The sequence below is a fragment of the Homo sapiens genome, chromosome X, assembly GCF_000001405.40.
Source record: "Homo sapiens chromosome X, GRCh38.p14 Primary Assembly".
Classification (NCBI taxonomy): Eukaryota; Metazoa; Chordata; class Mammalia; order Primates; family Hominidae; genus Homo; species Homo sapiens.
The window spans coordinates 133,685,201-133,700,655 of NC_000023.11; the positions used below are offsets into that span (position 1 = coordinate 133,685,201).

The 15,455-nt window shown below is 39.2% G+C and overlaps 1 protein-coding gene across 5 annotated transcripts in view, besides 1 other annotated feature; it reads right to left on the minus strand.

Moving 5' to 3' along the window:
- The window catches only part of GPC3 (glypican 3), a 449,850-nt gene that overhangs the window by 149,456 nt on the left and 284,939 nt on the right, over positions 1 to 15,455 (minus strand). For 4 of the 5 annotated variants that reach the window (NM_001164619.2, NM_001164618.2, NM_004484.4 and 1 more), the window contains 2 exons: positions 14,695 to 14,828; positions 7,169 to 7,294 (listed from right to left, as the gene is read on the minus strand). In NM_001164619.2, the coding sequence (NP_001158091.1) occupies positions 7,169 to 7,294; positions 14,695 to 14,828 (260 nt within the window). Of the gene's footprint in view, positions 1 to 763; positions 766 to 7,168; positions 7,295 to 14,694; positions 14,829 to 15,455 lie in introns of all 5 variants that reach the window. The other variant, XM_017029413.3, reaches the window with a different exon arrangement.
- Positions 575 to 1,232: an enhancer, noted in NCBI's record as "OCT4-NANOG hESC enhancer chrX:132819803-132820460 (GRCh37/hg19 assembly coordinates)". NCBI's record gives its function as "activates a minimal SCP1, AML or CMV promoter by ChIP-STARR-seq in primed H9 embryonic stem cells {active_cell/tissue: H9 hESC(primed)}" and the evidence as "EXISTENCE:reporter gene assay evidence [ECO:0000049][PMID:30033119]".

Genomic DNA, 15,455 nt, shown 5'->3' on the forward strand with positions numbered 1-15,455 from the left:
CCTTGCCTTTCCTAGATCATAGGGGAAAAAAGAAGCTATTTCGGTCATTTAATTGTTTGTATGATTTTACACATCTCATGAATTGGGTGTTCATGGTTCTCTCATATTCACTTCAACTTGCTGACATGCCACAGTCTATCCTTCCAACCCAGCAGAAGAGAGAGAAAAATGTTTCCTTACTGTACTTTTCTGAAACATCCAGAAGGTTTTGAGACAACGGACAAAACTCTGAGAATTAACATAATTGCTTTGCATATTCCCACTTCTGCCTTCTCAATTAAGCAGAGAAATCCTGAAGAGGCATTAGAAACATTGGAAGACTTGTCTGGTTAATGGAAATAAGAGAATTCAAAGTGTGTGTGTGTGTGTATATATATATATATAAAATTTCTCAGGTGAAATGAGAGGTAAGATTGCATAAGATAAAGAGGAGGCAGATTCACCACAATTTTCCCCTGCAGATCTTAGGGAGTTTATTTAGTAAGGCCAGCTGCCCCATGTGACAGTCTCAGAGTCATCATGAGAGAATTAAAGATGAACATGCATTCATAACATAGTTTTTTTTTTTTTTTTTTAAGAGATGGGGTCTTGCTGTGTGCCCAGGCAGGACTGAAACTCCTGGGCTCAAATAGTCCTCCTGCCTTAGCCTTCTGAGTAGCTGGGACAACAAGCACGTGTCACCACGCCCAGCTCCAATTCATAATGAACAGAAGTGGCTATGTAGAAACTGTCAGCCAGAAAACAGCAATATCCTGGAGCTGACATCTGGAGCTAGGCCCATCTGGCCCAGCAACATGATAAAGGGGTAGCATTAGCAGCTCCAGCTGAATCACAAAGGGAACTAAGGCATCGTGCCACAAAGTAAAGCAGTTGTCTATGCAGAGTTGATAAGCCTCAAAGTCACTAGGGAAATATAAACCCCTATGGGAGGTGTGCTAATTGTAGGAGAGGCCAGCTGACTACAAACAGAAGGCTGAGACAAAGACTCAGGGGAGAATCATTGCAAAGGATTACAGAGATGAGGTCTGGTGATAGGCTAGCATTTAGATGGTGCTCAAGGATGATGGGGATGGGAGGCCTATAGGTTTGGCTGACCTGTCTTCAAGGATAAGGGTGAGCTAAGCTGAATGCAGAGGTAGTGAGAGAGATCTGACAGAGAAGTAGTTGCTCAGAGTTTATATAAAAATGAATAAAAACTGATGAATGGATAAACAAAATATGTTATATACCTACAATGAAATATTATTTGGCCATAAAATGATAAAGTACTGATATGTGCTACAACTTGGATAAACCTTAAGAACATAATGCTAAGTGAATGATTCCATTTATATGAAACCCTTAGAATAAGTAAATCTGTTGTGACAGAAAGCAGATTGTTGCTTGCCAGGGGCTGGAGGAAAGGGGAAATGGGGAGTGCCCATTAATGTACAACAAGGTTTCCTTTTGGAGTGATGAAATGTCTTGGAACTAGAGAGAGATGGTGGTTGTACAACATTGTGAATGGACTAAATGCCACTGAATCGTATACCCTAAAATGGTAATTTTGTCATGCAAATTTTACCTCAACACACACACACACACACACACACACACACACACACTTGCGCCTGCACACACACACACAATACACATGGATGGGGCCTCTGTTGTGATACCTCTAAGAGGAGCTCTCCCTGGACTGCTGGGGAAGAGATGGGGTTGATTTTCTTTTTTTGTTTGTTTGTTTGTTTGTTTTGGAGACGGATGGACTCTCGCTTTGTCACCCAGGCTGGAGTGCAGTGGTGCGATCTCGGCTCACTGCAAGCTCTGCCTCCTGGGTTCACGCCATTCTCCTACCTCAGCCTCCCAAGTAGCTGGGATTACGGGCACCTGCCACCATGGCCGGCTAATTTTTTTTTTTTTTTTTTTTTTTGTATTTTTAGTAGAGACGAGGTTTCACCGTGTTAGCCAGGATGGTCTCGATCTCCTGACCTCGTGATCCGCCTGCCTCGGCCTCCCAAAGTGCTGGGATTACAGGCGTGAGCCACCGTGCCCGGCAGAGATGGCTTGATTTTCTTTCCTCATCCTTCTCTAGGTTGTGAACTCCTTAGCAGGCGCAGGAGCTGGATTCTACTTATCAAGGTATGCCCTATTATATATTAAGTGCTCAATCTGTGTGGAATGAGCCTGAATTATCAGAGTTTTTTTTTTTTTTTTTTTTTTTTTTGAGATGGAATCTTACTCTGTCGCCCAGGCTGGAGTGCAGTGGCATGATCTCAGCTCACTGCAACCTCTGCCTCCTGGGTTCTCAGCTCACTGCAACCTCCACCTCCTGGAAAGTGATTCTCCTACCTCAGCCTCCCAAGTAGCTGGGACTACGGGTACCTGCCACGACACCCGGATAATTTTTTTAAAAAATATTTTTAGTAGAGATGGGGTTTCACTATATTGGCCAGGCTGGTCTCGAACTCCTGAACTTGTGATCTGCCTGCCTCGGCCTCCCAGAGTGCTGGGATTACAGGCGTGAGCCACCACGCCTGGCCTATCAGATATTAAATGTAAAGACAAAATACGTTTATTTTTTTTCTCACAAACTAGGGGTTTTTGAACATATATAGTTTAAACAGTTCCTGTGTTATACTAATTTAAACAAGTGTCAAACTCTGTTTACTAATTTATAGATTCTAAACTAATTTATAGAAACTAAAACTAATTTATAGTTGCTCTGTTATACTAATTTATAAAGTATCAAACTATCCAGAAAATGAATGAAAATTCAGTCAATTATCCAGATATTTGGCCTAGCAAAAAGGGTGTTTGAGAATGATTTACAAAAATGTTCACTGTTCATTTGGGTGTTATCAGGGCAAAGACATTTACTTATTGTGAAGCCCAGTGTTAACTCAGCAATCTGGGTTCCTTTATCTTTCTCTTGGTCTCAAGGACTCTCTAATTGAAATTCTCTGTAGTTTGACAAAGGCAGAAGCTGGAGGATCTTTCTGCCTTTGGCAATTTTAGGAAATCTTTGCCTGTAGGATATGCTAGTGGCTCACATAAAAGAGGATATCTCACATGGGCCCAGTTTGCTAATTTGAAGGTTTCTCAGCTAAGTCCTGGTAGACAAACCAATGTTTATCTCAAGCCCAGATAGGGTGGTGGTGGGAAGCTGAGAAGGAAGAATGATAGGCTTATGTGGTACTCTCTAAGACTGGATCGGTGAAAACATTCTCTTCATTCATATTTCAATTGATTGCATTCATAAGAGATAAAAAAGGAAAGGATGGAAAATATGACCTTATTCAGAGAGATAAGGAATTAACTCTTTAAAAGTTGAGTGATCGATACATCCATAGTAGGCTACAAACAGCTCTAATAACCCAACTGACATGAATATTGCTCAGTATTTCCCTCAACATCAATATTTTCCTTTTGATCAAGTGTCTCCACTGACAAGTCTCATTCCCTATCAGGATCCTTGATTTTCATAATTTTTCTTGACTAAAAGTAAAATTTTTCACAGGCACACAAACTTGACCTAGAAAGATAACAAAGTTACAACCCACTGGACAATAGGAAGTGGTAACTGTTACTTAAGACTAAATTAAATGAGAAATTTATTGAAAAGCTCTAGAAAGAGGTTTTCACTATAGATGAGACACGAGTGCAAAGCTAATCTTTATAAATGGTACAAATAGAAGCCATACATGTCTTCAGGCTAAAGAACTTCATATTATTAAAGGTATATTCCTGAGTAATTTTTAAAAAAATTTAGTTTGACATTATTCCCTAGTTTGATCATTGCATTAGGTCAGTAATACAAGTACAAGTTAATTATAACCTGAGGTTACTAACCAAGAAGGAGTCACTTCCTGGATTACACTACCCTTATTCTCTCTGAAAATATGTTTATTTTCTTCCTCCCTTCCTTGCCTTCATCCTTCCTTCCTTCTTACCTCCCTTCTTTCCTTTCTTTCTTTCCTGGATAGTATATATTAACAATAAAAGTCGTTTTGAAAATAAAGATTTTTCAGAAATCAGAAATATAAATAGGAGTTTGGAATATTAGCTTTTCTCCATACTACAATATTTATTTTATTATTTTGTTCAATACCCTAAGGCTTAAAGCTAGCAAATGAAACAAAAATATTTCAGTTACCATAGTTCTTTTAATGATATAAAAGTACATTTGGCTAACTTTTGGACTCATTCAAATTTAGCAGGCTTCGGAATCCACCATTTGATAGAAGAGAAATTTCTTGGTTCCAGGGCATCATTCTTCACCAAAGTGTACCAAACATGAAGTAGTCAGTATGAGCAAAATTCAATAAAAATTCCACTAATTCAAAATACATAGGCCTAGGAATAAATTATTTTACAATTAACTAAAACTGGATCGATCTGATTTTTCACCATAAACAATAGAAGATAAATCCAGCAGGGTTATAATATTTGCTTCAAACAATCACAATGAAGAAACAAATATTAGTGCTTGATATTGGATAAGTGCTCAAATATTTGTTAGAATGAATACGTGAATGAATGAACACATCAGTAAATAAATATATTTGTAAAGTAAAATTTCCTTTTTAATAAGAAACCATGGTTAGAAGATAAGCTGCTTAAAACAAATATTCAGGAGTTGTTCATTTTTCGCTAAAGTAACATAACACTGGACAAGGCACTGGAATGGTTTGTCATCAAGTTTATGTAAGAAGCACATATTTGACCTGTGGATATATTCTTTTTCAAATAGTTATTGTTTGTATCAGTTTTAAAGCATCAGCTTTTTATAAAGCCAAATACCAACTGTTTTTTTCTGAAAATTAAAAAAAAATGTTCATGATTCTTCTTAGTACCTGATGAGCTTTTAGGATGACAAATATACATTATTTCTCCAGTGCATGGAGCCATTAATCCTTCCAGGCTGATTTACATTTGCCAGAGAGAAGTGTATCTCCATACAATTTCAGTGCCTCATTCAGGGTGGCACGCAACCTTATTCTCATTGTCCCATGTCAGTAAAATAGCATAGATGAGGAACAAGCTATTTTCTGACATGTCTTTTGTTTTGTGTTGGAAAGAGGAGGAGTGAAGGGGAAAGGGGGAAAAATAGAGAAGTAATATAAATTGAGCTTCCAGCATGTGCCAGTTTGCTAGGGGCTTTTCATTTATGACCTCTCCTAACAGTTACAACAATCCTGTGAGATGCCCTTCCCTTACAGAGGAGGAGGACCTTAAGACTTTTTAGGTTAAGTGACTCACCCAAGGCCACAGTTAGTAGCAGAACTGAGAGGCAAATCCAAATTCATCTGGCTCCAAAGCCTTCCTCTTTGCACTCCATTATACTGTTAATAAATTCCATTCAGCATTCCATGTCCTGGTATTGGGTCCCACTAGAATGTAAGCTCTTCAAAGCAGCTAACTTGCCTTTTTCGCCCTTGCACCCCTACCTAGCACCTAGCTTGGTGCCTAACACATAATATCTCAAAACATAAATGTTGAAGGTATGAATGAGTGAATAAATTAATAAGAAAAAAATACAGATTGTCAGACCTGGAGGGGCTCTAATCCAACCACCTCCTTTTTTAGATGGGGGAAACCAAGGCCTAGAGAGATTAAGTCACTTGCCTTTGGTTAAACAACTAATTAGTGAAAGATTCAGACTCGATTTTGGGTCTCTTCTGTATTCTCCTCTATAACATGCTACTTGTACAAACATTTTCTAAAGCATGTTCATCAACTCTTTGTGGTTTCCTAAGCATTCTGTCCTCTTGATTTAATTTTTTAATCGCAAGCTATTCCTCCCACATGGAAAGCAATGGAGATTAGGAATACCACTAGCGCACCAGAATGAAAGCTCTGCGAGGACAGGAAATTATGTCTGTTTTGTTCATTTCAACAGGCTTGGCACTTAGAAGGTGCTCAGTAAATACCTGCTGAATAAATGAATATAATGAATATATATGATTTCCTTTTCAGTGATGAGCAAATTCTTCACACATAATGATAGCATAGATTATATTAACAAATACTCGGCTGGGTGGAGTGGCTCACACCTGTAATTTCAGCACTTTGGGAGGCCGAGGCAGGTGGATCACCCAAGATCAGGAGTTTGAGACCAGCCTGGCCAACATGGTGAAACCCCATCTATACTAAAAATACAAAAGTTAGCCAGGCATGATGGCAGGTGCCTGTAATCACAGCTACTCGGGAGGCTGAGGTGGGAGAATCACTTGATCCTGGGAGGCGGAGGTTGCAGTGAGCCAAGATCGCACCATTGTACTCCAGCCTGGGCGACAAAGTGAGACTCTGTCTCAAAAAAAAAAACAAACAAAAAAACAAAACAAGCAAACAAACAAAACCCACAAATGCTCCATAAAATATTTCAGTAAAATTGCTCAGTGAAATGGTATTCCTCTTTCCCTCCCTTTTCTTCCTTTCTCTATCTTCATCTGTATAATGGGGGAAAATAACAGTATTCATTTCATAGGATTTTTATAAAGATAAATAATACATACAAAGCACTTAGCATGGTACTTAATATACAATTAACTCTCAATAAATGATAGCTTTCAAGATGAATGTGATTTCTTCAAATCAAATAAATAAGGACCCACATAATGAGGAGATGGAAGAATCGAAGACAAAAGAAAGTTGTTTTATGCTTTAAACTCTGTAAAATTGCCTTCAGACACAGTTCTCTATGTGTTTCAAACTTTGCAACTTCTAGGAGGGCTATAAATTATAGACATCATCTGGAATGTCATAGATGTTTTCTCTTTTTCTTGGAGAGTCTTGCTCTGTCACCCAGGCTGGAGTGCAGTGATGCGATCTCAGCTCATTGCAACCTCCACCTCCCAGGTTCAAATGATCCTTCTGCCTCAGCCTCCCCAGTAGCTGGGACTACAGGCTTGCGCCATCATGCCTGGCTAACTTTTGTATTTTTAGTAGAGTTGGGGTTTCACTGTGTTAGGCTGGTCTCGAACTCCTGACCTCAGGTGATCTGCCCACCTCAGCCTCCCAAACTGCTGGGATTACAGGCATGAGCCACCGCATCCAGCCTCATAGATTTCTCTAGAATTTTTCTGGTGCAATTAATGGAGATAGAAGACATAATTAACTTTTATATAAACATATGACAATTATTCCTCAAATATTGCTATATGTAACTTTCAAAAAAGATCACCTCTCCACGAGTTCTTGTCCATTCCAGCAAAGGGTGTCGTTTTCCGCCACAGGGCTATGGCTGCAGATGTAGCCAGGCAAAGCACTATAGAAGCTGATGAAAGACTTCAACTTCTGAATTAGTTCCCTAAAAGAAAAACAAAACATCTGTGCATAAGAGGCAAGTAAACTCAGTATGAGAAAAGTTTAATTTCCTTATCAGCATGACAGAAAGGCTCTGCCAGGCTGATTAGAGCAATAAATGACTTTTAAAGACATTCTTGGCTACAAGGCCACAGTTTAGTTTTTTTTTAAAAATCAATAAAATGATATTAGAAAAAAAGTTGACTGCCATATAAGGTGCTGTTTCTATCAGAAGGATGATTTAATTCCAACATTCATTTTCTAAGACGTTCCACTTCCATTTTTCTTATTCAGAATGCTGTTACCTACATTTTCAAAGGTGCTGATTACAAGGTACACTGGAGCACTACATATCTTTTGGTTTCTGAGTGTAATTGGGTGCATTGATTGTAATTTACAATGCTATTACCCTAGAGATGGTCCGTTTCCATATAGGCTCTGGCTAATGGTTGCAGATCAGAATTGCAGGGTGCTCAGAACAGTATAAGCTCTATGAAATTCTCCTGGCAATACAGTCAGAGCAACTCACATCTGCCAGAAGAGGAAGGTTTCTTTGTTATTTGTATATTGTGGCTCCTGTGAGGGAGAGGGAGCAGGGTGGGGGACAATTCTAGTATATTTTATTATTTATTTGCTTTTGTTTTTGTGCTACATATAATAAGACAAGTGTGTGTGTGTGTGTGTGTGTGTGTGTGTGTGTGTGTGTGTGTGAGACAGAGAGAGAGAGAAAGAGAGAGTGACACAGAGAGAGAATATATTATGTCTGCAATTGTATGTAAACACACACACATATACCAGAAAAATTTCAGGTCTGTTATCTCATTTCAGATGTACATGGATACACAAAGTAATATGCCTTAGACTGGAGAGAAGTGGATATGTTTAAAAAGAAATATTAAAATATCTATGTAATAGATGTACAGTGGTAAATAAACAAAAATAAAACACACTTTATTTTCTAAAGCAATGTTACTGGTAGAAAATTAAAGCATCCTTCACATCCAAATGTACCTTATGTCTATACTAAGTTTTTGGAGACTCTATTCAGGGAATTTTCTGGCAGTGGAGTAATTATTCAATATTGTCTCCAGGCTAAGAATGGACTGGCCTGATGTACAGGCCTCTATAGGAACCAGAGGCCTGAATATCATTTGGACACTGGTGGAAGTCCTTAGCCCAGAAATGCCTTCTGGGAGTTGTTCTCAGATCTGGCCAAATGAGGAAGACTGGTGAAAATATCCTCTTGGACTTAATCCGATTCTTCATTTTATTACTCTATGGTTTAAGATGGCTTGTCCTTACCAAAACTCATGTGGAGGTGTGGTCCCCAAGGTGGCAGTGTTGGGAGGTGGTGCCTTTTAGAGGTGAAAATGGACTTATGTCTGCCTTGCAAGCCTGGGTTGGTTCTCCAGGGATTGGATTAGTTACCAGGAGAGCGGTTGTTATAAAGTGAGACTGCCTTTCATATTTGTCCTTTTCACTTGTGCTCAGTTCCCTTTCCTTTTCTCCACCATGTTTTCACACAGTATGAGGCCTTCTAAATGAAGGCCTCACAAGATGAGGCCGCCTAATCTTGAACTTCCCAGCCTAATAAATAAACCTCTTTTCTTGATAAATCATCCAGTCTTAGGAATTCTGTTACAGCAACATAAAACAAACTAGGACAATTACCATAAAACTCTTCATTTCAACTAATGATTTAAGAGGCGGGGGAGGGAGAGAAAGGGCTCTCAGCATAGATTCACAAAGGCTTGGGTCACTGCAAAGCCAAGGTGATGGACAGAACAACTCAAGAAAGGTTGTTGGGACATATTTAACTTCTGATACCCACAAGTCACTTCCTGTTATGCCTGTACCCCCTACCCCACAGCCTACCCCTGGTGTCTGAGCACCATCAATCTCCAAAAAGAAGAGGCTCAATACAGAGCTCTGAAAATAAAAGTCAACATTATAGTTCCTCACAGAGGAAAAAGATGGGTTCAATTAACAGCTAATAGGAGAGATGTTCTGTTTTACAAGGTAATAATACAGTTCCCAAGAGTGGAAGCTGAAAGAGTAAAGGCTGAGTCTAAGTAATTCCCCCCACTCCATAAGGAAATGGAATATGGCCATTAGTCTACGGGAAACAATGGCCCTCTCTTAAAGGAAAGAGTTTCCCTTAGGCCTCTCCCTACCTCCAAACCCCCTCTCACTAACACCACACATGGCAAGAAAAATTGAACCCATGCAAGGCCTTCCATTTTGATTTCCATAGAAGTTAAAAAAAAAACCAAAAAACAAACAAAAAAAAAACCACCCTGAACTTCTCCCAACCCTTGCAGTTTTCTTGGTGGATCATAAAGATTATTGACAATTTGAAGAAGATCAAGATGAGGTTCGATCTAAATGTCAAGAGCATGAGGGGCTGCAATAAACATAAGACCTCCCACTTTAGTATAGAAAGATATTACCTGGAAGGGTCAAGATAAAAGTCTAAGAAAACCACAAAGAATGTGAATATATTAGTCTGTTCTCACATCACTATGAAGAAATACCCGACTGGGTAATTTATAAAGAAAAGCCAGCTCTGCATGGCTGGGGAGGCCTCAGGAAACTCACAATTATGGCAGAAGTGGAAGCAAACGTGTCCTTCTTCACATGGTGGCAGGAAGGAGAAAAATGAGTGCCAAGCAAAGGGGGAAGCCCCTTATGAATCCATCGGATCTTGTGAGAACTAATTTACTATCATGAGAACAGGATGGGGGAACCACCTCCATGATTCAATTATCTCCACCTGGTTGGGGAATGATAGCTAAAGGGTACAGAGTTTCTTCCTGAAGTGATGAAAATGTTCCAAAATCTACTGTGATGATGGTTGCATAACTCTGTGGATATACTAAGAACAATTGAATTATACACTTTAAATGGATAGATTGTATGGTATGTGGATTAAATCTCAATAAAGCTGTTACCCCTGCCCCTAAAAAGAAAGGGTAGAGAAGAGGTGAGAAATATGTCTTAGAGAAAGAGAGGGTTCTCTAGTATGGGGAGGGACGCCCCTTGGAAGAATGAAAACAGACAGGGAGGAGAGTTGGGAACAGCCAGGCTGGATGCAAATAAAATAAACACATAGGTGGTGAGGGAAGAAAAGAGAAATTTGTAAAAGCTGCAGCTTCAGTGCCGCACCAGCTGTAAACAGTTCAAATATATTTCTTCCTCCATCTTCTAAAATAAAGTATTTTGTTTTCTTTCTCATTGTAAAAGAAATATATGTTCACTATGGAGAATTTAGAAAATAAAGAAAGATAGAAAGGGAAAAAAATTCATGGTCCCACCAGACACAGATAATCACTGTTAATATTTCAATGTAGTTTGTTCTAGATTTTTCTCTTGAGTAAAGTTTTACATTTATTTCTTTAAAACCTATTCTTCTTGATAGGCTTGTTCTCTGAGTTCTTTTTGGTTCTTAGTGTGTATTATCTCCATTAGAATCCACTTAGAATCCAAGGTAGATTTGACTACAAGAACCTCAGAATTAAATAAATCCTGGTTCTCAACTAATTCCCAGGCCCTGTGGGATGAGACAGGGAGAACAAAGAGTAGATCTCCAGCACAGTTCTCAAACTGGTCAATATCTTAGAGTCCCAAAGGACAGTGTTACGGTGAAGACCATTCCTTTATGGAAAACCTTCTGAATTACTGTGAGAAAATACATCTTGGTCTCTAAAAGAAACTGATTATTGAAAATAAGTGCAGACATACTGTTTTCGAGGGTAGGGAAGAAGACTTCAGAAACTGTTGGAGAGTTAATGAGTTTTTCAAAGGACAGCAACAACAGGTGATAATGTCCTCTGACACTACAGCAGCAGAGTTACAAGAGTAGTTTACCTCCTACCAAGTTTACTGGGCCTCTCTCATCTCTCCTCTTCTTTGTCTCTTCCTGTCATTCCTTTCTAAACTTGTTCCAGCACAGGAATTAAGCGTATTTTAATCTTTTCTTAAATAAAGGTTTATATTCCTCTGCTTATAGTTGTAAAAGAGGAGTTGAATATTTCTATTTTTCTCTTTAAAGAAAGACACATGAAACTAAGTGACATGTTAATTACCCATGTATGACACAGTCCAGATTTTTTTCCTTTGTGCTAGTAGCCCATGACAGACAACAAAAGAATCTCCACCTATGAACTAAGACAGTCTGCTCAACTGAATTGTTCCTAGGGGAAAAAAAAGAGGATAGAAAGTTTGGACAATTCGTTGCCTGGGATGGGAAAAACAATGTGATTGAAGGGAATGTTCTTTGATTGTAATTCCACTTTATTCTAATACATAAATGTCAAACATAGCATTGACATACAAAAATTCTGATGCCTACAGCTCTCAGTTAGACAAATCCAACATTTGCTTACGACAGCCTGCTCAGGAAAAAGTCTCTTCATAGAGGTTTCCATTCAATGTGTTAAATGTGGAACTAAAGGATAGGGCCCCTTTGCACGCATGAGCCATTTTCAAATATGGCAGCTGGGTGCACGTGATCATCCCTGGAGGGCTTCCATCATCCTGAAGAGGATCATCCCTTCCCTTCTTTGGTTGCAGGGGAGGAGATTGCCTTTGCTTTCTTGCAATGATTTGCTTGGGCAGGCATCAAAGCAGCACTAATTGGAAATCACTGCAAGTAAAAACAGCCTTTCATCCCTGACTGCAGACCTGGAACTTTTTCCTTTATTATTAAGGTTCGTTTTTTTCTCTTCATGTAAAGTAATATGAGCTTATTATTTTTAAAAGTTGGCAATGCAAAAAAGTACCTAAACTAAAATAACGAAAATTGGAATGATGTAAGATCATGCCTAATTCTGCTGGAGAGAGCCTTTCACAGTTTAATCCCAAACTAGAGCTTTCTACCATTCTAAAGACTTGCCCATACTTTTTCTCATAGTGTTCCCTTTGCCCAGAACGCCCTCCTTTCCTTCCTCAATCTGCTGAGCTTGTTTGAACTTATCCTTCAGGCTGAGCTCAAAAGTTACCTTTTCCAAGAAGTCTTTCTTAATGCTCCAAGGAGAGGGGCTATCTTCCCCATCTGTGACACTGCCACTCTTTTGCACCTAGCTCTGATTTGGCACTCACCCCCCAATGTATGGAAATTATTCATTTGCATGTCTCCCTCCCTAACTAAGCTAGGTGCTCCTCCATTCCTCAGAGCCTAACCCTTACACAATGTGAAGCATAGAGATGGTGTTGACAAATGTTGAAAGAAGTAGAGGCCTATTTAGGGCAGAATGACTTGTACCAGATCCAGAACTCGTTGATTCACTCAGGACATACTTTGTTGTTTTGTTCAGAGTGGGTGGGAGTAGGCATTGATTTTGGACTAGGGGAGCTGAGGTCAGCTTTTGTTCTTTTCTTTCTAGATCATTTACTAGTGTCACCTGATCCGTTGCCGCTTTAGACCAAGTCAGAGGGGAAGGAGAGGAGGGGGAGCACAGGAAGGAGAAGGCTGGAATATGTAGATATAATTTCACAAGGGTGGAGGGAACTGTGTGACTTTCTCACAAGTTAGCAGTTGGGCCAGAAGCTTGGTATCTGTAGATGCAAGATGGACTATTCAACCATAGATTCGGCATTTGAACAATGGAAAAATATTGTTCATGTACTCAACCAAACAGTATATTGTGGCAAGGTAAACAGTATCATAAGGGAAGCAGTGAAGTAGACATTCGGAAGGGCAAAGAAGGGAGAAGCTGGCAACTGAGATGTGCCAAAAATATGAAAGCTAGAAGGGGCAGTGAAGATCTGATTTCTTCTATTCTGATTGTACTAGTTGTGCATCTTGTTCTCCACTCACTGTTTTAAATCTATGACAGATATTTTCAATACTTATCCCTTAAAGGAACACTGAGTCCCACACATAGACCACCAGTTGAGTATCAAATCGCCTTGAAATTGAACTAAGCTATTTCTAAGATTAGCTGTGTGTTGCAAACTACCCAGTTGGGGGCAGACAAAACAAACAGATGACTTCTGAATACTACCAAAGGAATTCATTGTGTGTTGTTATTTTAATAAGGCAAAGGGCTTTTCAACTCATGATCAGATTCAGACAGCTTGCTCACAACCTCCACAGACTGAATACTACAATAGGGTTCCTTTGCAATTATCATATTTTTAACCACAGAGGACGGAGCTTGGGCATGGGCATGAGGAGTGCTAGAGGCACATATATTTTTCTGGACAGTGTGAAATGCTGTGCAGAACATACTGAGAGATTTATAGAGGTACTAACACTGCAAAAACAAACCCTCTTAATAACATCAGATTGCAGGGGGCAGTGCATTTAGCAAGAGATTATCTTAATTCCCACTTCTCCTCTCTCCCTAAAAGGGGTTACAATGCCTATTTGAGGGAGTTAAATAAAATCAGATACTCTCCTGTTGTTTCGTTTTCTTCTTCTGCCAGAGAATTCACAAAGAAAGGCTCCATCTCAGATTCTAATGCTTCAGTTTCAAAAAAAGTGAGTAACATCATTGGGCAGTCTCGATCTCCTAACACCAAAGAAGCTCTGCCTGACCATCATTTACTCAACTCTACAGGCTTTGTCAGTTTTTCTTACTATCCTTTCTTTTCCTTGGAGGATGAATCTAGGCCACGTGTGGTGGCTCACGAGAATGGCTTTAACCTGGGAGGCATAGGTCACAGTGAGCTGAGATCGCGCCACTGCACTCCCCCCTCAAGGTCAATAGGAACAACTCATGTCTAGCTATTCTTGAGCCAGTGGCAGGGCTGGCTACATGTGCAGTCTTTTCAGGTAGGGCACTTCTTCTAGAATTGTATTGGGCTTTTGATCCAATTTCTACCCCTTTATTGTAATCAAAAAAATAGAATGGGGATAGAGGGAACCTGGATCAGGGGAGAATGGATGAAGAGAATAAGAAACAAACGTGGATTTTGTCCCCTGACTGTTGTTTTAAGAACCAGGAACCAGATCCTTCATTTTATCATTTTTAAAAGGTGTGTAAAGTGTGCAGTGTCTGTGTATACACATGAATGTGTCTCACCAGCTTCTCTCTGGTGAATTTAACTCTGACTCACTGTTAATAATGGGAAAAGCTACAAAGCAAGCCAAGGAATCGCGAGACCAGATTGTAAGCAGAAACAATTTTGCTTAATCAATAAAAGATCTTGAATAGGGAAGTCCTTTCCACACATGTTGCTGTACTAGATATTTATGAACAGTAAATTTACATTTAAATATGCCTTGGATATAATACCATCTTTTTTTAAACATTGACAGATGATAAAATTTAATTAATCAAGCACTCTACTCAGAAGAACTAAATAACATGTATTTAAGAAGTTTCACTCTAGTGGTTTTTGACCTTAAAATACAATTGTTAATTGTATTGTGGAATAAAGAAAAAAGAAACCTCTCACCTTCTTCGGCTGGATAAGGTTTCTTCATGTTCTACATGAGCAACTTTTAATACTTTCTTGTCAATAAAGAGATCTTCAGGATAATAAGCAGATCTATATTGGCGTTGTTGAGAATGGGCACATAACTTGCCAATCTGAAAAAAGAAATGCAATATAATTATATGATACTTGTGCAGATATGATAGTAGAAACAAATTCTGAAAGGCACTTCAATTTCTTCCCCCAATTTTAAATAGCAGAACAAAGCTATGACTAGAGTCAAAAAAGGTGATAAGCTTGTAAGACAAAGAACCACTGGTGGAAAGAAGGCTGGAGACGGGGAATGGGGGCCCCATTCTAAGTACAGCCTATTCAGAGATTTCCTAAGATAAAAAATGGCTTTTTTTCTACAGTGAAGTATACATTTGAGAGGACTGTCAACGCAGGCCTCACGCTATTGATACCTTTCAATGGCACTTAGTATTAATATGTATGAAGAAGTTCACAAAAGGGAATTGCAAAATTTAGGAAGAACTGGTGCAGAAGATGGGGGTTGTGTAGTCAGTTAATAGAAGACCAGCCTCCCAAGCACAGAGTGCTCCCAATTTCTATGAGTATTTTTTTATAAGACCCAAGATAAGGTACTCTGATAAAAAGTATGATTGCTCATCTGGATTTCCTAAAAATACCCAAGGGAAGAAGGCAAGTCAACCAATCAGTAGCCAGTGACAGGCAGCTCACACCTGTAATTCCAGCACTTCGGGAGGCTGAGGCAAGAGGAT